Raw genomic sequence first — 22,795 nt, 5'->3', positions numbered from 1 at the left:
ATAGGCGTGAGCCACTGCACCCAGCTGTGTCCTGGGCTTTTCTTTGTTGGGAGATTTTTGATTACTGACTCAGTCTCCTCGCTGTGTAGATCTAGTTAGATTTTCTACTCTTCAGTCAGTTTTGGTGGATTGTGTATCTCTAGGAACTGGTCCATTTCATCTAAGTGGTCAATTTTATGTGTGTATAATTGTTTGAAGTATTTAATAATTGTCCTTTTGATGTCTGCAGAATCTGCAGTGATACTGGAAATTTCATTTCTGTTACTGGAAGTTTGTGACTTCTTTTTTTCATTGTCTGTTTTACTAGAGGTTTGTCAATTTATTGATCTTTTCAAAGTACCCATTCTTTGTTTTACTGATTTTTCTCTTTTGGTTTTCTGTTTTCGATTTCATTGGGCTGTCTGCTCTTATTATTTCTTTCTTTCTGCTTACTTGTGGTTTATTTTGCTGTTTTTTTTCCTCTACATTCTTGAAATGGGAGCTTAGATTATTGATTTGAATAATTTGAATATTTTCCCTTTTTTCTGAGATAGGGTCTCACTCTCACCCAGGCTGGAGTGCAGTGGTGCAATCATAGCTCACTACAGCCTCAACCTCCTGGGCTCAAGCAATCCTCCTGCCTCAGCGTCCTGAGTAGGTGGGACTATAGGTGCATATCACCATACCTGATTAATTTTTTAAATTTTCTGTAAGACAGGGTCTTGTTCTGTCACCCAGGCTGGTCTCAAACTCCTGGCCTCAAGCAGGCTTCCCACCTCAGCCTCCCAAGTAGCTGAGACTACAGGTCCCTGCTACCACACCTGGCTAATTTTTGTATTTTTTTATAGGGATGAGGTCTCGCTATGTTGCCCAGGTTGGTCTCAAACTCCTGAGCTTAAGAGTCCATCCGCCTCAGCCTCCCAAAGTGCTGAGATTATAGGTATGAGCCACCAAGCCCAGCTCCTGTGATTTTTTTTTGTTTGTTTTACTTCCCTTGAGATTTTCTCTTTGCCCTATGGATTATTTAGTAAAAGGCATAAGAGTCATATGATCTGAAGAGAAACCAGAGTATTGCCTATGGATTATTCAGAAGTGTGTTATTTAGTTTCCAAGTGTTTTGAGATTTTCCTGTTACCTTTCTTTCATTGATTTCTAGTTCGATCTGTATTGATTAAAATCATACAGATTTTAATTCTGAGTTTCTCACGGTTTGTTTTATGGCTGAGGATATAGTCTATCTTGGTATATGTCCCATGTGTACTTGAAAAAGAATGTATATCCCACTGTTGTTGGTGCTCTGTAAATGTCTAATAGAGCTTGCTAGTTAAAGGTGCTTTTGAGTTCTCTATATCCTTGATGATTTGCGGTCTAGTTTTCAGTTGTTGAGAGAGGTGCTGAAGTCTCTAACTATAATTGTGGATTTGTCTGTTTCTCCTTTCATAGCTAACAGTTATTGCTTCATGTATTTTACAGCTTTTTTGTTTGGTGCATTTACATTAGAATTGCTGTGCATTCTTTTCGTTGTTGTTGTTGTTGTTTGTTTAGAGACTGGGTCTCGCTTTGTTGCCCAGGCTGTAGCTCAGCGGCACAATCACAGTTCACTGCAAGCTCAAACTCCTGAGCTCCAGCGATCCTCCCACCTTAGCCTCCTGAGTAGCTAGGACTACAGGCATGCACCACCATGTCTGGCTACTTTTAAAATTTTTTTTGTAGAGATAGGGTCTTGCTATGTTGCTCAGGCTAGTCTTCAACTCCTGGCCTCAAGTGGTCCTCCTTGGCCTCCCAAAGTGCCGGGATTATAAGTGTGGCCCTACTATGCATTCTTGATCGATTTACTCTTTTATTATTATATAATGTTTCTGTCTCTGATGATTTTCTTTGCTTTGAAGTCATCTTTTTCTGATATTAATATAGCCACGCCTGTTTTCTTTGAATCAAGTTTTCATGTCTTTTTTTCTCTTTTTACTTTAAATGTATATATGTGTCATATTTGAAGTGACTTTCTTGTAGACAGCAGATAGTTCAATCATGTTTTAAAATTCACTCTGCCAATCTCTGTCTTTTAGTTGATATATGTAGGACATTTACATTTAATGTGGTTATTGCTATATTAGGGCTTAAGTGTATCATTTGATTTATTTTGTTTTCTATTAGTTCTTTTTTTCCCTGTGGGTTTTCTTCCCCCTGCCTTCCTATGGGTTACTTGAACACTTTTTAGAATTTTTATTTGATTTACTTATAGTGTTTTTCAATATAGATCTTTATTCAGTAGTCTTCCCTTCTCTGTGGGGGATACATTCCAAGATCCCTCATGGATACCTGAACCCATAGATGTCATGGAACCCAATTCCATCATTTGGAACATGTTTCTATTATCTTCCACCCACAAATCAAACGCTTTTTTAAGTCTTTTTTTTTTTTTTTTTTTTTTTTGAGACAGAGTCTCACTCTGTCGCCCAGACTGGAGTGCAGTAGTGTGATCTTGATCTTGGCTCACTGCAACCTCCGCCTCCTGGGTTCAAGCAATTCTTCTGCCTCAGCTTCCTGAGTAGCTAGGATTACAGGTGTGTACCACCACGCCTGACTAATTTTTATGTTTTTAATAGAGACGGGGTTTCACCATGTTGGCCAGGCTGGCCTTGAACTCCTGACCTCAAATGATCCACCCGCCTAGGTCTCCCAAAGTGCTGGGATCACAGGCATGAGCCATCACGCCCGGCTGCCTTTTTAAATCTTAACTAAACGTTTATCACACACTGTAGCCCTAACTTTTGCAGTTTGCAGTGTGACAGCAAAATTAACATTAATTTCTTTTTTTCTTTCTTCACAATTTCTTGGATAGAAGATTCATTCTTACTGTAGATCTCAGCAACCTCAGAATATTATATTATTATTATTATTTTGGGGAGGGGGGGCAGAGTCTCGCTCTGTCACCCAGGCTGGAGTGCAGTGCAGTGGCACAACCTCTGTCCACTGCAACCTCTGCCTTCCGGGTTCAAGCGATTCTCCTGCTTCAGCCTCCCAAGTAGCTGGGATTACAGACACGCGCCACCACGCCTGGCTAATTTTTGTATTTTTATTTTTATTATTATTTTTTTGAGATGGACTCTAGCTCTGTCACCTAGGCTGGAGTGCAGTGGTGCAATCTTGGCTCACTGCACCCTCCATCTCCTGGGTTCAAGTGATTCTCCTTTTTCAGCCTCCTGAGTAGCTGGGATTACAGGCCCCCGCCACCACACCCAGCTAATGTTTGTATTTTTAGTAGAGATGGGGTTTCACTGTGTTGGCCAGGGTGGTCTCGAACTCCTGACCCCCTGATCCACCCGTCTTGGCCTCCCAAAGTGCAGGGATTATAGGTGTAAGCCACCACGCCCAGCCTATTTTTTTTTTTCTGAAGTTGAGAACTTTGACCTTTTTACCTAAAGGAAGCATTTTACAGCTTCTCTTATCCAAATTGTTAGCATCACTACTGTTGCACTTTGGGGCCATTTTTTATGAAAATAAGGGTTACCCGGACACAAGTGCTGCAGTACCACAAGAGTCAGTGTGATGAGGGAGACAGCTACTAAGTGACTAATGTTAGGTCGTGTATACAGTGTGGAAAAAGGAATGATTCATGTCCTGGGCAGGACAGAGCATGACGGTGCAAGATTTCATCACACTGCTCAGAATAGCATGCACTTAAGCATTTATGAATTGTTGGCTGGGCGCGGTGGCTCATGCTTGTAATCCCAGCACTTTGGGAGGCCGAGGCAGGTGGATCATGAGGTCAAGAGATCGAGACCATCCTGGCTAACACGGTAAAACCCTGTCTCTACTAAAAACACACACAAAAAAAATTAACTGGGCATGGTGGCAGGCGCCTGTAGTCCCAGCTACTTAGGAGGCTGAGGCAGAAGAATGGCGTGAACCCGGGAGGCGGAGCTTGCAGTGCAGTGAGCCGAGACTGCGCCACTGCACTCCAGCCTGGGTGACAGTGAAAGACTCCATCTCAAAAAAAAAAAAAAAATTATGAATTGTTGGCCAGGCACGATGGCTCACACCTATAATCCCAGCACTTTGGAAGGCCAAGGTGGGCAGATCACCTGAGGTCAGAAGTTCAAGACCAGCCTCGTCAACATGGTGAAACCCTGTCTCTACTAAAGTTACAAAAAAAAAAAAAATTACCTGAGTGTGGTGGTAGGCACCTGTAATCCCAGCTACTTGGGAGGCTGAGGCAGGAGAATTGCTTGAACCCGGGAGATGGAGGTTGCAGTGAGCCGAGATCACACCACTGCACTCCAGCCCTGGGCAACAAGAGTGAAACTCCATCTGGGAAAAAAAAAAAAAAAAGAAAAAGTTATGAATTGTTTATTTCTGGAATTTTCCATTTAATATTTTTGGACCACAGTTGACTTCAGGTAACTGAAACTGCAGAGAGTGAAACAGTGGAAAGGGGAGGACCACTATATAGCTTTTGTAGTGCTTACCTTGGGTATTATATTATATTTGCATGACTGATCCACGTCTGCTGGTGGTGTCGTTTTGCCAGTTTGAGTGAAGTGTGGAAACCCTACCTTCCCTCATCTCCCTTAACCTCCCCTTTTATAACCATCTGGAATACTTCCTCTACAGAAGTTAGAACCACAACAGACACAGTTATAATTTTTATTTCAGTCATCAAACATAATTTTAAAAACTGGGGAAGAGATGGAAAGTCTGGTATGTTTATCCATATTTTTGCTTATCTTGTTCTTTATTCCTTCCTGTTGTGCCAAGCCTTTTTCTTTTGTTTCCTTTTTGTTTGGAGAACTTTAACCACTTTTTAGGGTAAGACTGCTGGTGACATTGTTTTTCTTCATCAGAGAATGTCTTGATTTCCCCTTTATTCCAGAAGGATAATTCACTGAATATGGGATTCTGTGTTGACAGTTCTTTCTTTTGAGCTTGAAGAATGTTATGCCTCTTCCTTATGTCCTCCATGGTGTCTAGTTAGAAATCCACTGTTGTTTGAATTTTTCCCCAGTGGGTAAAATGTGGTTTCTGTGGGGTGCTGTGACTCGTTCCTGTAATCTCAACATTTTGGGAGAACCAGGTGGGCAAACTGCTTGAGCCCAAGAGTTTGAGATTAGCCTGGTCAACATGGCAAAACCCCATCTCTTTAAAAAAAAAAACAAAAAAACAAAAATTAGTCACACATGGTGGCATGCGCCTGTGGTCCCAGCTACTCAGGTGGCTGAGTTGGGAGGATTGCTTGAGCCCTGGAGGTCGAGGCTGCAGTGATCTATGATTGTACCACTAGGCAAGAGAGTGAGACCCTGTCTCAAAAAAACAAACATAATGTAGTTTCTCTCTGGCTGCTTTGAAGATTATTTCTTTGTCTTTAACTTTCACTGTCTGACATCTGGGGTAGATGTCTTTGGTCTATCCTGTCTGACATCTGGGGTAGATGTCTTTGGTCTATCCTGTCTGAGGTTTGCTCAACTTCCTGAATCTATAGGCTTATGTGTTTTACCAAATTTGTAAAGTTTGTATTATTTCTTTGAGTTCTTTTTGCTCTGTTTCTGCATCTCCAGTTACATGAATGTTAGGTCTTTTGTTGTGGTCCCAAGGTCCCGAAGGCTCTGTTCATTTTTTAAACCTTATTTTCTTTCTGTTGTTCAGATGGGTTAATTTCTGTTATTCTGTCTTCCAGTTCTCTGTCTCATCCATTCAGCTGTTGTGCCACACACTGAGTTTTTTATTTCAGTTATTGTATTTTTTAGTTCTAAAATTTTCATTTGGTTCTACTGTATCTTCTTTTTCTCTGTTGATACTTTCTATTTCTTCTGTTTCCAGCATGTTTGTATTGCATGTAGAAGTGTCTTTGTGATGCTGTTCTGTCTTTATGAAATAATTCTGACGCCCTGTCTGTCAGCGTTGGCGCTGCCCCTCTTCACCGAGCTTGGAGCCTCCCTTGTTCTTAGTGTGAGCAGCCACTTTCTGTGGGAGCCTAGTCATGCTGGCTGTTGGGTGGAGGGGCTGCCTCCTTCTTGCCAGCTAGGAGTGGAAACCCAGCTCCCTGCACTTGGCCTCATTGACACTGTGGAGGGTGGTGTGGAAAACAGACCTTCCCTGAACCTTCCCTCCCTGCCTTGGGGGAAGGAGTTCCACAGTGCCTCTTCCACATGGCCTCCACTGACTCCGTGGGGGATGGAGAAGGGGTGAATGTCCTGGCTTTTCACCACCCCGGCAAGGAAGGGAAGGGCCTCCTGGCCAGGGTTGAGTCCAGGCTCCCTCCTCAGCCTTTGCTGATCTGGCTGGGGGTGCAGTGGTTTTGCGTGTTGGCTGGAATAGATGGCTGTTGCCCGAGACCTTCTGTCTTGCTGGGCTGCCCTTTGCCTGTGCCTCTGGGCATTTCTGGGCTGTGGCTTCCTTGACTCCAAGTCTTGGATGGGGCAGGAAGCAGCCCAAGGGCACCCAGCACCAGTCGTGCCCCGATCCCTTCCATCAGCACCTTCTCCGCAGCCAGAGGTGGCTTGGGTTTGTTACGGTGGCACTTAGCGGGAAGTACAGGGATGGTAGGTTGGTACTTTGGGTCTGTGTTCCAAGCAATGCAATGCAAGCTCCTCCTTTTTTCTTTTCTTTTCTTTTCTTTTTTTTTTTTTTTTAGGCAGAGTCTCACTTTGTCACCCAGGCTGGAGGGCAGTGGTGTGATCTCAGCTCACTGCAACCTCTGTCTCCTGGGTTCAAGCAATTCTCCCACCTCAGCCTCCCAAGTAGCTGGGATTACAGGTGTGCACCACCATGCAAGGCTAATTTTTATATTTTTAGTAGAGACAGGGTGTCACCATGTTGGCCAGGCTGGTCTTGAACTCCTGGCCTCCCAAAGTGCTGGGATTACAGGGGTGAGCCACCGTGCCCGGCCTACTTCTTTTTAATGCCAGTTTTGGCTTATTTTCCCCCAGAAGTGGATCCGTTTTACTGAGGTTTTCAACGTATGGGTGCATGTCGGTGTGTCTACAACATCCTTTGTCGCGTCTAGAGTTTTTTTCATCTGTATTTAATTTGCGTTTTCTCACTTGTTTCTGGGAACAGTCTTGCCAGGGGCATGTCTGTCTTATTGCCCTTTTCAGACAACCAGCTTTTGGTTTTGCTAGTGTTCTTTGTTGCTTGCTCCTTTTCTTTTTCATTGACTTCTGTCATTGCTCTTTATTATTTCCCTCCTGCTTTAGGTTTTCCCCGGGCTCCTGTCCTGCTTCCTGCCTTCTGCTCTGGGAGCACCTGTTCCCGTGTCTGTAGGTTTTGGGTTCTGGCTGATGTGCTTTGAGCTCTTGGCCTCCCTCTCAGGAGCCCCTCCCTGCTGTCCTTGTGGGCACCCGCAGTCCCCCACAGCAGCCCCACAGGCCTTCTCTGGTGGTTTGTTCACTGGTCAGGGTAGAAAGCATCCAGTCACTTACTGTGTTTAATATACTTGTTATTATTTTAGATTTACCAAAAAGTTGCAGACATATCACAGAGAGTTCCCATACACCCTCAGCCAGCCTCCCCTGCCAGGAGCGTCCTGCAGATCCACAGCTAGCAGTGTGATGTGCTTTGACCTGTGTCCCTGCCCAAATCTCATGTCGAATTATCATCCCCGATGTTGGAGTTGGGGCCTGGTGGGAGGTGATTGGATCATGGGGATGGTTTATAATAGTTTAGCACCATCCTCCAGTGCTATTCTTGTGATGGAATGTTCACAAGATCTGGCTGTTTAAAAGTGTGTAGCACCTCCTCCCTCTCTCGACCTCCTGCTCCAGCCCCCTCTCTCGACCTGCTCAGCCGCGTGAAGTGCCTCGCCTCCCCTTTGCCTTCTGCCACGATTGGAAGCTCCCTGAGGCCTCTCCAGAAGCAGATGCTGCCATGCTTCCTGTACAGCCTGTGAACTGTGAGCCAATTAAACCTCTTATCTTCATAAATTACCCAGTCTTGACTGGGTGCAGTGGCTCACACCTGTAATCCTAGCACTTTGGAAGGCCGAGGTGGGTGGATCACTTGAGGCCAGGAGTTCAAGATCAGCCTGGCCAACATGGCCAAACCCCATCTCTACTGAAAATAGAAGAATTAGGTGGGCACAGTGGTACATGCCTGTAATCCCAGCTACTTGGGAGGCTGAGGCATGAGAATCGGTCGAACCTGGAGGTGGAGGTTGCAGGGAGCTGAGATTGTGTGACTGCACTCCAGCCTGGGCAGCAGAGTAAGACACCGTCTCAATAAAGAAATAAATTACCCAGTCTGAGGTATTTATTTACAGCAATGCGATAATGGACTAATATAGAAAATTGGTACTGAGGAGTGAGGCATTGCTATATAGATACCTGAAAATGTGGAAACAGCTTTGGAACTGGGTAACCCACAGAGGTTGGAAGAGTGTGGAGGGCTCAGAAGAAGACAGCAAGATGAGGAGAGTTTTGAACTTTCTAGAGACTTGTTAAATTGTTGTGACCAAATGCTCAGAGTGATATGGACAGTGAAGTCCAGGCTGAGGAGGTCTCAGATGGAGATGAGGAACTTATTGGGAACTGGAGCAAAGGTTACTTTTGTTATGTGCTAGCAAAGAGGTTGGCTGCACTATGTTCCTGCCATGGGGATCTGTGGAACTTTGAACTGGAGAATGATGATTTAGGCTATCTGGTGGAAATTTCCTGGGTTTTGTTTTGTTTTGTTTTGTTTGTTTTTTTGACATGGAGTCTTGCTCCAGGCTGGAATGCAGTGGCGCAATCTCAGCTCACTGCAACCTCTGCCTCCTGGGTTCAAGCAATTCTCCTGCCTCAGCCTCCCAAGTAGCTGGGGTTACAGGCATGTACCACCACACCCAGCTAATTTTTGTATTTTGGTAGAGATGGGGTTTTAGTGGAAACATAGTTTCACCATGTTGACCAAGCTGGTCTTGAACCCCTGACCTCAGGTGAGCCACCCGTTTTGGCCTCCCAAAGTGCTGGGATTACAGGCATGAGCCACTGTACACAACCAATCTGGTGGAAGTTTCTAAGCAGCAAAGTGTTCAAGGTGTAGCCTGGCTGCTTCTGACATTCGGTGCTCATATGTGTGAGCAAAGAAATGACCTCAAGCTGGAACTTATATTTAAAAGGGAAATAGAGTTTGGAAAATTTGCAGCCTGGCCATGTAGTAGAAAAGAAAAGCCCATTTTCAGGGGAGGAATTCAAGCAGGCTATAGAAATTTGTGTGACTAAAAGGAAGGCAAGTGCTAATAACCAAGACAATGGGGAGAAAGCCTCAGAGGCATTTCAGAGACCTTCATGTCAGACCCTCCCATCACTGGCATGAGGCCTGGGAGAACTGAATGGTGTCCTGGACCTGGCCCAGAGCCCCACTGCCCTGCACAGCCCCAGGATCTGCGTCCCTGTGTCCAGCCAGTCCAGCTCCAGCTGTGGCTCAAAGGGGCCAAGGCACAGCTCTGGTCACTGCTTCAGGGGGTGCAAACCATAGTAAGCCTTGGAAGCTTCTACGTAGTGGTAAGCCTGCAGGTACTCAGAGTGCAAGAGTTGTGGTTCAGGAGCCTCTGCCTGATTTCAGAGGATACGTGGAAAAGCCTGTATGTCCAGGCAGAGGCCTACTGCAGGGGTCAAGCCCTCATAGAGAACTTCTGCTAGGGGGAAATGTGGCATTGGAGCCCCCACGCAGAGTCTCCACTGGGACACTGTTTAGTGGAGCTGTGAGAAGAGGGCCACTGTCCTCCAGACCCTGGAGTGGTAGATCCACCGACAGCTTGCACCATGCACCTGGAAAAGCTGCAGGCACTCAGTGCTGGCTCTTGAAAATAGCTGTGGGGGCTGAACCCTGCAGAGCCATGGCGGCGGAGCTGGCTGAGGACTTGGGAGCCCTCCCCTTGCATCACTGTGCCCTGGATGTGAAATGTAGAGTCAAAGGAGATGATTTTGGAGCTTTAAGATTTAATGACTGCGTTGCTGTGTTTTGAACTTGCATAAGGCCTGTACCCCTTTCTTTTGGCTGATTTCTCCCTTTTGAAATGGGAGTATTTACCCAATACCTATGCCTCCATTGTATCTTGGAAGTCACTAACTTGTTTTGATTTTATGGGTTCATAGGTAGAAAGGACTTGCCTGGTCTCTTTTTTTTTTTTTAGACAGAGTTTCAGTCTTGTTGCCCAGGCTGGAGTGCAATGGTGCTATCTTGGCTCACCGCAACCTCTGCCTCCCAGGTTCAAGCGGTTCTCCTGCCTCAGCCTCCCTAGAAGCTGGGATTACAGGCATGCCCCACCACGCCTGGCTAATTTTTTGTTTGTTTGTTTGTTTTGTTTTTTGAGACAGAGTTTCACTCTTTTTGCCCAGGCTGGAGCGCAATGGCACTCTCTCAGCTCACCGCAACCCCCCGCCTCTCGGGTTTAAGCAATTCTGCCTCAGTCTGCTGAGTAGCTAGGATTACAGGCATGCACCACCACACCTGGCTAATTTTGTATTTTTAGTAGAGACAGGGTTTCCCCATGTTGTCCAGACTGGTCTCGAACTCCTGACCTCAGGCAATCCACCCGCCTCAGCCTCCCAAAGTGGTGGGAGGCATGAGCCACGACACCCGGCCATCCCTGCCGGTTACTAATGGCTGAGCACCATCCCCCGAGTCCTGTTCTTGTGGTAGGCTTCTCATGACATCTGGTCAGTTAAAAGTCTGTAGCATCTGCCCCGCTCTCTCTCGTCCTCCTGCTCGGCCGTGTGAAGTGCCTCCCTCCCACTTCACCTTCTGCCATGATTGGAAGCTTCCTGAGGCCTCCCCAGAAGCAGATGCTGCCATGCTTCCTCTACGGCCTGTGAACTGTGAACCAGTTAAACCTCTTTTCTTTATACATTGCCCAGTCTCAGGTATGTCTTTATAGCAGTGCGAGAATGGACTCATGTACCATCTCGCTGTCAGAACTGAGACATCCACTTTGGTGTGGTGTAACTGTCAACTCCAGACCTTATTTAGATTTCCTCAGTTTTCCCTGATGCTGTTTTCTGTTCCAAGATACTACATTCCATGAAGTCACTGATTTTGGAATGCAGAGGAGCGTGAGAAAGATGGAGAGCGTGGATAGAAGTGTCTGGAACACGTCCTCCAAGGTGGCTGGTGGTGGTAGAGGGGGCAGCTTTGATTTTGGACAGTGGGAAGGAAGCTGGCAACTCTGCTGGGGACAAAGGGTGCGTCACAGCCATCAGAGGTGCTGCTGGCTGTGGGGTTAGGGCCTCACCCCCAGGAGAGAACTAAGCAGGGCTGGGTGCTGTGGTAGGGCAGGGGCCCCTCAGGCCCTGGGCTGAATCAGCACAGGTGGTGAGGGAGCTGCTGTGGTCAAGCCAGCTGGGCAAATCAGCCTGCTCTTGGCCAAGGAAGAGAGCGCCGTGGAGCCTGGCCCAGTCCCTGTGCCCTTCATGTCAGCTCCGCAAGCACAGGCCGGAAGAGTCTCCCTATGGACCATGCTCCCAGGGCCAGGCTGGCTTGGGGAAAAGGTGACCTGGTGCCTGGGAGATTCACCTGAGGCTCTCCACTGTCTTGGTGCTGATAGAAAAGGCAGACGACCAATTAGTTATCTGAAGACAGTTCTCCGGTTGCGGGCCCCAGTCCAGGCCCCAGAGGGCCCCCTGTGGGAAGCAGTGCCTCAGTGCATGGCCAGGCAGTGTGGACATTGGCTTAGCTGGAAACATGAGCCCACCCAGGCCACCTGGCCTGTCACGCTCGGCAGCTTGGACGGGCCTCTGTGCTTTCTGTGAAGGCTGTGTTCAACCTTTTTTTACTTTTTGACCATTAGAAGGATTAAAAGCTGTCTGATATTTTAAATTGGTATTTCTCTGATGTAAACTGAGGTGGAAAACCTTTTCCCATGTTTCTAAGGCCTTTGTGTCTTCGCTTCTGGAAAATCTTTTTGGTGATTTTTGGAATCTTTTTGGTGAGGGTGAGGGTGTTTTTCTTTTGGGTTGTTTGATTCTTACTGACTCAGAGGGAATTTATAAACATAAACAAACATAAAAATACATATAATGTCCTGGACTTTAATCTGTTAGTCACATGTCTTCTCTGTTTGTGGTTTATCTTTGCATTTCTTTGTGACGTGTTGAAAATCAGAAGTTCTTGATTTTAACGGACATAGTTTTATAGTTTTCTTTACATTTTGCACCCTTAGTGTCTTGAATAAGAAATTCTTCTCTACACCAGATTGTGCTCAGTTGCCTCTAAATATTTTGTTGTGTTTACCTTTCACATTGAGACTTTCATCCAGCTGGAGGTGATTTTCTTGTGTGGTGTGTGCGGTGAGGTCCAGTTTCATTTTGCCACAGCGCCTGGCCTCGAAAAGCCCATTGTTTCCAGCGGGTGTGCGGTGCAGCCCTCCCTCCTGTCGTGAGGTCTGCGTGGATGCGGGCTCTGCTTCTGGCTCTCTGTTTGTTCATTGGTCAGTTTGTCCCTGAGCCAAACCATGCTCTGAATTATTTGAGCTTCATAATAATAAAGCAAGTTCTTTCACCTTGTTCTTTTTTAGAACGAATTTCAGCTATTCTTGACCATTATTCTCCCAGAAATACATTTTAGATTTTTCTTGTCAGGTTAAAAAAAAGTTGGAATTTTGATTGGGATTGTCTTGAATCTGTAGCTCGGTTTGGTGGAATGGGCATCTGTCCCCAGAGCAGTGAGCTGCCAGCCTGTGGGGATGGCATCTGTATTTCTTCAGTTAGACCCTCCCTTTTAATGTCTTTTTTTTTTTTTAAGAGACAGAGACAGGGTGTCACTGTGTCACCCAGGCTGGAGTGCAGTGTTGTGATGATAGGTCACTGCAGCCTCCAACTCCTGGGCTCACGTAATCCTCCTGCCTCAGCCTCTCAAGCAGCAGGGATTATAGGCACATGCTATGACACCTGGCTAATTTTGTTTTTTTTTAATCTTTTGTAGAAACAGGGTCTTGCTGTGTTGCCCAGGCTGATTTCGAACTCCTGGTCTCAAGCAATCCTCCCACCCTCCCGCCCTGGCCTCCTACCTTTAATGTGTTTTAATAAGGTTCTTTATTATCTTTTTTTTTTTTTTTCTTAAGACAAAGTTTCACTGTTGTTGCCCAGGCTGGACTACAATGGTGCAGTCTGGGCTCACTGCAGCCTCCACCTCCCAGGTTCAAGCAATTCTCCTGCCTCAATCTCCTGAGTAGCTGGGATTACAGGCATGTGCCACTATGCCCAGCTAATTTTGTATTTTTAGTAGAGACAGGGTTTCTCCATTTTGGTCAGGCTGGTCTCCAACCACCGACTTAAGGTGATCCGCCTGCCTTGGCTTCCCAAAGTGTTGGGATTACAGGCATGAGCCACTGTGCCCAGCCCTTGATTAGGTTTTGTTAGATTTATTCCTAATAGTTTTATTACTATAAATAGTATATTTAAAATTTGTATTATCTCACTGTTCATTGGCGTATAGAAATATAATTTTATATAGATTTTATCTCCAGCAACTTTGCTGAACTATATTAGTAATTAGTTTATAAATTCTCTTGCATTTTTCTGTATAAACAATTATGTCATTTGCAAATAATGACTTTTTTTCTTCTTTTGAGTCCAGACAAGTTTTCTTTCTTTTTCTTGTCTTCCTGCCTTGGATAGGACCCCAATACAATATTGACTGGTGATGATAGTGGGCTTCCAAACTTTCCCCTTGACATGTGATGCTTTCTGGGAGTTATCTTTTACGAAACCCTGTATTTCAGGCTGAGGAAGTTACCTTCAATCACTAATTTGCTAAATGTTTCTTTTTAAAAAACTGTTGAATTTTATTAAATACTTATTTCATATCTGTGAGGTGATCATATGATTCTTCTCTTTTAACCTGTTAATGTGCTAATTTTTGTTCATTGATTTTCTAATATTAAACCAACCTTGCATTCCTGAGATAAATCTAACTTGGTCCTTGATATATTAGTGTTTTTACACATTGCAAGACTCTCGTTTATAATTTGTGTAGGACTTTTTGCATTCTTTTCATGAGTGATATTGGCCTAAATGTTTTTTTCTCATATAGTCCTGGTCAGATTTGGTTTCAAGATTATTCTGGCCCCATAAGCTGAGTAGTGTTCTGTGTTTTTCTATACAGTGGACTTGTTCATGGAAGACTGGAATTGTACATCTGGAGTATTTGGTAGAACCACAAGTAAAGGCCAGGTGCGGTGGCTCACACCTGTAATCCCAGCACTTTGGGAGGCTGAGGTGGGTGGATCACAAGGTCAGGAGAACAAGACCATCCTGGCTAACAAGGTGAAACCCCATCTCTACTAAAAATACAAAAAAGTAGCCAGGCATGGTGGCGGGCACCTGTAGTCCCAGCTACTCGGGAGGCTGAGGCAGGAGAATGGTGTGAACCCAGGAGGCAGAGGTTGCAGTGAGCCGAGATCGTGCCACTGCACTCCAGCCTGGGCAACAGAGCAAGACTCTGTCTCAGAAAAAAAAAAAAAAAAGGAAAAAAAGAACTACAAGTAAAACCCTTTGGGTTGGAGCTTTGCTTTTTAACTGCTGATTCCAATTTCTTCATGGTTATAGAAATACTTGGATTTATTTTTCTTGTCAGTTTTTCTAGAATTTGTCAATTCACTGGTGTTTTCAAACATACTGGCATGACGTTTGTTACCACAGCGTGCGGTGTCTTTCATCATCTGCAGCATCTTTAGTTACACGCTTAGCGTTCCCAACATTGTTTACATCTTCCTTCTCTTTATTTCCTGATTAACCCTATTGGATAAATTGATTACTGTTTTAAAAGAACCAACTTTTAACTCTCTTGGTTTTAATTCCTATTTTGTTTTTCTTTCCCTCTGCTTTGAGTTCATTTGCTGTTCTCCCCCTAACTTTTAAGCTAGGTCTTCTGTTGTGATATAAGCATTTAAGGCTATGTATTTTCCTTTAAGCCCTGTTTTCGCTGTTCCACAGATGGTGATACATTTCCAGATCTTTGGAGAGTTTTCTGGGGGTTTTGTTTGGCTGGTTTGGGTTTTTCATTAGTGAACATGAGATGAAGGTCTCAGGCCTTTGAAATTTAAGATTCATTTCATGTCCAGTGTGTTTCCTTGTATATTTTCTTCCATCATTTTACTTTCTTCATCGCTCCTAAGTAATTTCAAAAAGTTCTTTTTTTTTTTTTTTTTTTTTTTGAGACAGGGTCTCACTCTGTTGCCCAGGCTGGAGTGCAGTGGTGCAATCTTGGCTCACTGCAACCTCCACCACCCAGGTTCAAGCGATTCTTCTGCCTCAGCCTCCCAAGTAGCTTGGATTACAGGTGCGTGCCACCACACCCAGCTAATTTTTGTGTTTTTAGTAGAGACGGTTTAGGAGAGACCGTTTCACCATGTTGGTCAGGCCTGCTCTCGAATTCCTGACCTCAAGTGATCCACCCGCTTTTGCTCCCAAAGTGCTGGAATTACCGGCGTGAGCCACTGTGCAGGGCCTCAGAAAGTTCTCTTTGATCCTCGGGATTTGGTTGTGTTCTGCAGGAGGGTTCTCATCGGCGCTGTCCAGTACAGACATGGATGAGTCATTTGTGAATTTCAGCTTTTCTAGTAGCCACCTTTAAAAGGTTAAAAAAGATTATACACCAAAGCAGATGGAATCATGTTTTATTTAACCCATCCTATCAAAAATTTCAACATGTCATCAAGGAAAAAGAAATGTGCATTTTACATTATTTTGCTCCTACTAAGTCTGAGTCCTGGCACATGGTTTACACCAACACCCACACCTCAGCTCACACTGGCTGTGTGGCAGGTGCCCTCTGGACATCTCAGCCGGGCACTCTGCATCCAGTGTTGCCCACCAGCCGTTGCTGGGGCTGTGGGTGCATCTGATAAAATGCACCCGCAGCCTTGGCAATGCCTGCAGTCCTGCCCCTTTGTGAACAGTGGACCTGCACACCCCCACGCCCGTCCCAGTACCGCGTGGGATGCCTGTGCTGGTGGCAGGGCTTTCCTTGTCAGGCACAGCCACTGCCCCTGCCCCCCCCCCCCCCCGGAGGCCTTGCCCCCGCCCCCCCACCCCCCCCGGCCCCTGAAGCCTGCTCTGCTGCAGGACCGGGCATCTCTCCAGCCGCAGGCCCCTGAGGAGCCCCTGGTCTCTGGGCCCCAAAGCACTGCGAGGCGCTGTGTAGAGGGACTCAGACTCCGTGTCGCAGGAATGAATGAGTGAGTGAGGGTGCAAGCACTGGCCTGAGCCTGGCTTCCACCTGGGGGTATGGCGGGGGCCACACCACAGGATCCAGGGAAGGTATGGGGTACAGTGTAGGGCCCGGTTCTGAGCAGGTGCTCACGGCCAGCCCCAGGTACAGGAGCAGTACCTGGGATCCCAGATTCTTAGGTCAGGTGCCTGGCAAGGGACTGTGTGGCTGGGAGGATGTGGGTTCAAGGCTGTGGCACCCCACGAGCTGGAAGCACTCCGGCCACTCTAGTGCCGTGACAGATTTGAGCTCCACTCTTGGAGCTTGTCACAGTTCACATTGGGGACGCCTGTCGCTTAGTCCCATGAAGAGCAGTTTGGGTGCCCCATGCAGTGGGCTCTGCAGGGTGAGGGGGAGGGCATACCCTCCCTGAAAGGCCTTGGGCACGAGGCAGGCAGGCAGCTGGGCTGCAGAGCAGAGCCCGGGAGGGGTGGGCAGAGGAAGGGCAGGCTGGGCGCCCTGCACCACAGGCCAGGCTGGGCCGCTGGGGCCTTGGGCAGCCTCTTTGTGTTTCCCTGTGGGCCTGGTAGGAGAGCTGGGGCCATGTTGCTGCCCAGAGCACCTGCTGGCTGGCACACCCCCTGCCCTGTGGGTATAATTAGCACTGTGACAGGTGCTAGGGATCGCGTGCCCAGCCCAGCCCAGCCCTGACCCAGTGCAGCCTGGCCTTGGCTGACCTGCCCCACCCTCTCCCGGCCCAGCCTAAGACCCCCAGGTCTCTAGCCACACCCACCTTCCCGGGCTCCCTCTGTGCTGCCAGGATGGGCTGGCTGGGGTCTGGCAGAGGCAGCGGGTGGGCAGAGCCCTGAGCCATGGCCTGGCTGCAGGCTCTGGGAGTCCCCACGCTGGCCCAGCCCCGCCCTGCTCTCAGTCTGTGCCCAGGGCCTACAGTTGGCTGAGGGCCTCTTGTGGGTGGGTGAGGGCCCAGGTGGAACCTCTCTGGACTGGTGGCCTCAGCCTTCCAAGAGGAAGCCTTTGGCCCCAAGACTTGGACGGAGCCTATGGGGCCCCGTGGGTACTCGGGGGGCCTGGCCTGGCTCTCCTTGCCTTCCCCGTGCAGCGCCACAGCCTCCAGCCGGCCCACCCACCTGCACCCCTTCTCTCTGCAGTGCAAGAAGAAACACACGCTGCTGTGCCCCGACTTTGCCCGCAGGGGGGCGTGTCCCCGCGGCGCCCAGTGCCAGCTGCTCCACCGTACCCAGAAACGCCACAGTCGGCGGGCAGCCACGTCCCCCGCCCCAGGGCCCAGCGACGCAACCGCCAGGAGCAGGGTCTCGGCCAGCCACGGGCCCAGGTGATGGGGCAGTGGGCACTGTGCATGTGAGCCTGGGTGGCCCCCTCCCTGTCTGGGGAGATGCCCGGGGCCCTCTGGTTGAGCTCCCGCCAACTCCAGCTCTTTGGGCCTCAGACCAGAAAGAAATCCCTATCCAAGGCTGGGGATCACATGACCTCCAGAGATGCCCCTACCCCACTTCCAAGTCTGGACAGAGCCAAGGGCATCCCTGGCCAATGGAGGAAGGTGGGGCCTCACAGAGACCTGCTCACTGGGACCGGGTGGGAGGCCCAGCCCCGGGAGGAGTCTGGGGGCCCCCTCATCCAGCCCACCTGCCATGTGGGTGTGGAGCCCCATGGAGACCAGGAAGCCAAGGCCCTGGATGTGAGGGGCAGGCTCGGTGTGGAGCTGGGGCCATCCCTGCACCCAGCCTGTCCTTGCGGCCAAGGGCCAGGCCTGACCTGTGCCTCCAGCTCTGCCCTGAGACCACGGAGGGCCACGGGAGCAGGAAGCAGCCAAGAGCATGGGCAGTCTGTCGCTGGGATCCCCACCCGTCACCCCACCTCACACGTCTGCCCCTTCCTTCCCTGCAGGAAGCCTTCAGCATCCCAGCGCCCCACCAGGCAGACGCCCAGCTCGGCTGCCCTCACTGCGGCTGCCGTGGCTGCACCTCCCCACTGCCCAGGGGGGTCAGCCTCTCCCTCATCCTCGAAGGCTTCCTCCTCCTCCTCCTCCTCCTCATCCCCTCCCGCTTCCTTGGACCACGAGGCACCATCTCTCCAGGAGGCTGCCTTAGCAGCAGCGTGCTCCAACAGGCTCTGCAAGCTGCCTTCCTTCATCTCCCTGCAGTCCTCGCCGAGCCCAGGAGCCCAGCCCAGGGTCCGGGCCCCTAGGGCCCCCCTCACCAAGGACTCAGGTAGGCAGCACGGCCTGGCTCGGGCCCCCAGGGCCCCCCTCACCAAGGATTCAGGTAGGCAGCACGGCCTGGCTCAGGCCCCCAGGGCCCCCCCCTCAGCAAGGACTCAGGTAGGCAGCATGGCCTGGCTCGGGCCCCCAGGGCCTCCCTCACCAAGGACTCAGGTAGGCAGCATGGCCTGGCTCAGGCCCCCAGGGCCCCCCTCACCAAGGGCTCAGGTAGGCAGCATGGCCGGGCTCGGGCACAGGGGAGCTTTAAATGCCCCCTCAGACCACCACGTCAGAATCTCCAGGTGGGGCCTGGGTGAGTCCCACGGGCGCCAGGGGTGCACCTGCCAGCCCTGGGGCAGGGCCAGCCAAGGTGCGAGTGTAGCGGTGGCCGCTGCGCAGTCTGCCCCAGCTGAGGGCTGATTTAATTAGAAAGCACCCATTTCTGTTAATTTGTTCTGGAAGATCACCACGCACTCCTGGAGAGAACAGATGTTCCCTCTCCCCCGATGAGCATTTGGGGCTTGGTAAATGGCTCCACTCAGCCTTGTTTAGGAGAGAAAAGAGGATTTTATGGCTGCAAACGACCCTTTCTGTAAACATTTTACAGCTCTCCGCGCGTTTGAGTGACGATAAACCCCACGCAGCTCGGCGGGCTGCAAATTTGCGACCATACGGCTATCATTTTATTGTCATATTTCACGGTCGTAACGTTAATGGAAGATGCTTGCTGCAGCCTTCTGCAACAGCTCCGCTGAGCACACTCAAATGCCTGCCTCGGAGGGGCCGCCTCCTGTTCACAGCCTCCACGTCAGGGGCGTGGAGCCGTGGCCAGACCCTCCGCCCCACGAGACCTGGGCACCCGCTCCCTCCATCTGGGTGGGCCTCTCTGGGGTCGGGGAGCAGATGGGGCCCCGAGGCAGCGACTTGTATTTTTTTTTTTTTTTAAGATCAGGAACCTAGCAGCCAGTTCCAGAGCCAGTGGAGGTGGGCAGGGTGCTGAGGGGTCCTGTGTGCACCTTGGGCGGGGCCTGGGAAAGGCTGCAGAAACCTCCCCTGCTTGGCCATGGCCAGGAGCTCGGGCAGGTGGAGGTGCCTGGGACAGTCTCTGGGCAGGAAGCTGGAGCTGCTGCTGGAGCGGCCACCGCAGGGGCAGGCTGACGGGTCAGAGCCTGTGTAGTCTGTAGCCTGGGCCCTGGCTGCTGGGCCCGACTCAGCTGTGCATGGGTGAGCGGGCTCATCGGCCCTGAAGAGGGGCACCTGGGCAGGCCCAGTCCTGTGGGCAGCTACACGGAGACATCTCTATTCAGCGGGCCACTGTGGTGCCTGTCGGGTGGTCTGGAGGGGAGATCTGGGGAGGGAGGAGAGGCGCTGGCACCCAGTGAGTGAACATTCATGGGGCAGGAGCCCCTGGGCTTCCCCGCTGTGGGGAACTGCTCCCTCCACACTGCCTGCCTCCAGGCCCTGCCCGCCTCACCCTGGGGCCTCTGCTCTGCTCCTGCCCCTCCCCGCCACAGCTTGTGTGCACCCCGGCTTTCCACATGGAAGCTGCATCGTGGCCGCCTCGTGTGTCTGGCAGCCTCACTGAACGTGCAGGGCAGTCTGGTGCTGTGTGCACCAGTACTGATGGCCCACCCTGCAGACCTTGTGGCCGGGACTGCCGCCCGCCCAGGAGGACCCCTGGACTGTAGGCAGAAGCCTCAGTTGACCTCATAGACTGAGCCTGCACCATGGCTAGACAGCCACAGAGGCTCACCAGGACCTGTTGGCAGCAGGGGGCAGAAGCTGAAGCCTGTGGCCTGTCTGTGCTCTTCTCCCTCGAACTCAGGAGGGTATCTCTGCAGACCTTGCTGTGTGTGCTTGGGCTGACAGAGCCCCCCGATCCTGAGCCCGATCAGGAGCTTTGCAGGCTGGGGAGGTTCTTCCAGGGGTTTCCGGGCACCTAACTTTTGCCCTCTTTGCATAGGGAAGCCTCTGCACATCAAACCACGTCTGTGAGGACCCCAGGGACCGGCCTGCACCTACCTCAGACCCTCATCCTTGGAGAGGAAAGAGGCTCTGTCCACCACTCTACCCCACAGGAGGGCCGCCCGCCACCAAGCCTCACCTGGGGGCCACAGGGACACTGCTCTGCCTGCCTGGCCCTCAACCTTCCATGACCAGCGTGTGCGCAGGGCCTGGTCTTCCTCCCCCAAGCCAGGCCCCTGTCCCCACCCCACCACCTTCCAGGGTGCCAGGCAGGGCTGGCCTCCAGGCCTGTCCCCGACTGCCATTGGCAACAGTGGCCCTGCAGCCCCCAGCCCTCCCCACCCAGGTTTTCGGCCCAGTGAAGAGGCCACTGGCCAGGCCTCCCAGGCAGGTGTTTTATGTTCAGCAATAAAGGTTCTATCCGTAACTGGTTGGCTTGTCCTGACTGTTGCCATGCCACCGCCAGGCGGAAAGCACCGCCCCTCTGGGCAGGAGTATGGGGCCCCTTTCCTACCTCCCACGATGGTTCAGAAGTCAGAAGGCGCTTCTCCCTGGACCTGAGCAGCACCATCTGGGGTGGGGAAGGCCTAGGGGGCACTCTGGGGACCCGGATGCAACAGGCTAGAGCCATGGTGGGTGGGGCAGCTCGGCCAGCTCCCGGTTCCCCTGCCCTGCACGGGTGCCCGTGCTGGAGGGGCCTGACCAGGAGGCCTGGCTGAGGTTGTGCCACAGACCCTGGATTGGGAGAGGCAAGGCCTGGAGGGGCAAGGCTCCTCTCCTCACCTCCAAAGAAATGGGGGGTGGCCCCTGGGCGAGGCAGGCCAGCAACACCTTCAGGGGCCCCACGGCACAGCCTGGAGTCAGATGCACGAGCCTTGTGCCCTCTGCCTGCCTGGGCTCTGGGTGGGTGGCACTGCCACTGCCCACCCCACACCCCGCGGGGCCCCTTGGCCTGGTCCACACTCGGGCGGGGAGAATGCTCCGCCCCCTTGAGGTCGCGGCCTCCACCCTGAAGTGGGGTGTCCTGACGTTGGCATCAGAGGGGACGAGGCGTGAGGCTCGTGCGACGGTTCCACCAGAGCGAGTGCTGGGTGACACGGCAGCAGTTTCCGGTTCTCTCCACAGTGCTCGTCGCTGTGGCCTCTACCCTGGGGCCCTGGGACCCAGCCTGTGGCCTTGGCCCTGCTGGGATTCCAGCCGGATCGGGTGGGATGGCGGATTCTGGAAGCCAGAGCTGTGGGTGGGGTGTGCCCAGCTGGCTTCTGTCCCCTCCAACACTGGCTCAGCTCACCCAGACCCAAGTGTTCACAGGGGCTTGTGTCCTTGTTCGGGACCCCAGATTTGAGGGTGGGCACCGGCTGGGCATGAGGCGGCCAGATCCTCTAACTTCACTTTGTGCCACCGGGAAGCGTCTGCCGCAGGCCCGGTGCGCAGCTGGACCCACCCATGGGTGCCACTTCCTTTGGCCACCCTGCGGCTGGCACATAGCCCCTGAAACGTGAAACGTCCGTGGGGGCTGGGGAATAGGCTCCCCATCCACCCAGCGCCTGTCTGGGACCGTGAGCGCTGCCATCTGACACACGGCACAGCCACTCGGAGGCCCAGGGCACTGCTCTTGGGCAAGGGGGTGTGATGGCAGTTCAGGGCCAGGTCCACTGTCCCCAAATGCAGCCCCCCCCAGGAGTGGCCAGCAGGAAGACTCAGAAAAGGCTGGCCACTGCCTTCAGGGGGCCACCATGGTGTCCCAATCCCCCACCTGGGGACCTTGTGCAGCCTGGGCTCTGCTTGGTCTCAAGTCCTTGCGTTTCCCCTGCATGGAGTGTGCCCATTTGGTCACACGAGGCCCCTCATGCCAAGGGGCAGCTGGCAGCAGACCAGTGACTGCCAGGGCACCTGGCCAAGGGACCTGGGAGGCTGGGACTAGCAGAGTCCCTGCCCCTGTATTGACCATGGCCCCAGCTGAGGACAGCCTGGTGGAATGTCCCCTGCTGGGGTGGTCGGAACAGGGAAGGAGAAGGCTTCCTGAGGAGAGGAGGGCGTAACCCTGCACCCAAGCCTGTGCGTGCAGCAGAGTGGTGTGTGCTGGGGCAGCCGGATGGAAACCCTGAAGCGGAAGCACACAGCACCCTGGGGGGTCCTCAGAGCCCTGGCGGGGCACGGCCGGGTCCCAGGCAGGTGATGCACCCCCCCAGCGCCAAGCAGATGGGTCTTAGCGCTGTTGTCTCTTATAAGGGAGATGTGATGGCCGCAGAGGTGGGAGCCGTGGGCAGAGTCCAGGGCCACTGCGGGAGGTGGATGGGCGAGCAGGGGTGCAGCAGTGACTTCAGAGTGTGGTTCTGTGCCCTGTGTGCCTGGAGGGGTGCCGGCTGGGCAGTCGGATGCTGGCCTGGATGCCCCTGGGGGCTGGGAGGTGACCGAAGGGAGAGTGTCTGGGGGTCCGCCGGGAGCGCCAGCACCTTCCTGGGCTAGGCCTGTGCCCATCCTGCCTCT

General features: G+C 51.4%; 1 protein-coding gene across 2 annotated transcripts in view, besides 4 other annotated features; it reads left to right on the top strand.

The window, feature by feature from the left end:
- ZC3H3 (zinc finger CCCH-type containing 3) overlaps positions 1-20,732 on the top strand; it is a 103,789-nt gene extending 83,057 nt beyond the window's left edge. The window contains exons 10-12 of one of the 2 annotated variants that reach the window (NM_015117.3): positions 17,271-17,455; positions 18,028-18,350; positions 20,304-20,732. In NM_015117.3, coding sequence (NP_055932.2) covers positions 17,271-17,455; positions 18,028-18,350; positions 20,304-20,335 — 540 coding nt within the window. In that variant the 3' untranslated portion in view covers positions 20,336-20,732. Of the gene's footprint in view, positions 1-7,739; positions 7,834-17,270; positions 17,456-18,027; positions 18,351-20,303 lie in introns of those variants that run through there. The other variant, XM_011516943.3, reaches the window with a different exon arrangement.
- Positions 8,458-8,752: an enhancer, noted in NCBI's record as "tiled region #10662; HepG2 Activating DNase matched - State 5:Enh". NCBI's record gives its function as "activates a minimal TATA promoter and a strong SV40 promoter by Sharpr-MPRA in HepG2 cells {active_cell/tissue: HepG2}" and the evidence as "EXISTENCE:reporter gene assay evidence [ECO:0000049][PMID:27701403]".
- Positions 21,055-21,838: an enhancer, noted in NCBI's record as "H3K27ac-H3K4me1 hESC enhancer chr8:144518723-144519506 (GRCh37/hg19 assembly coordinates)". NCBI's record gives its function as "activates a minimal SCP1, AML or CMV promoter by ChIP-STARR-seq in naive H9 embryonic stem cells {active_cell/tissue: H9 hESC(naive)}" and the evidence as "EXISTENCE:reporter gene assay evidence [ECO:0000049][PMID:30033119]".
- Positions 21,839-22,624: an enhancer, noted in NCBI's record as "H3K27ac-H3K4me1 hESC enhancer chr8:144517937-144518722 (GRCh37/hg19 assembly coordinates)". NCBI's record gives its function as "activates a minimal SCP1, AML or CMV promoter by ChIP-STARR-seq in naive H9 embryonic stem cells {active_cell/tissue: H9 hESC(naive)}" and the evidence as "EXISTENCE:reporter gene assay evidence [ECO:0000049][PMID:30033119]".
- Positions 22,426-22,600: a silencer, noted in NCBI's record as "fragment chr8:144517961-144518135 (GRCh37/hg19 assembly coordinates)". NCBI's record gives its function as "represses an EF-1alpha promoter that drives an FKBP-Casp9 reporter gene in an ReSE screen in K562 erythroleukemia cells {active_cell/tissue: K562}" and the evidence as "EXISTENCE:reporter gene assay evidence [ECO:0000049][PMID:32094911]".

The sequence above is a fragment of the Homo sapiens genome, chromosome 8 (genome assembly GCF_000001405.40).
Source record: "Homo sapiens chromosome 8, GRCh38.p14 Primary Assembly".
Lineage (NCBI taxonomy): Eukaryota > Metazoa > Chordata > Mammalia > Primates > Hominidae > Homo > Homo sapiens.
Note: the sequence above shows the minus strand (reverse complement) of the source record. Positions and strands in the feature narration are given on the sequence as shown.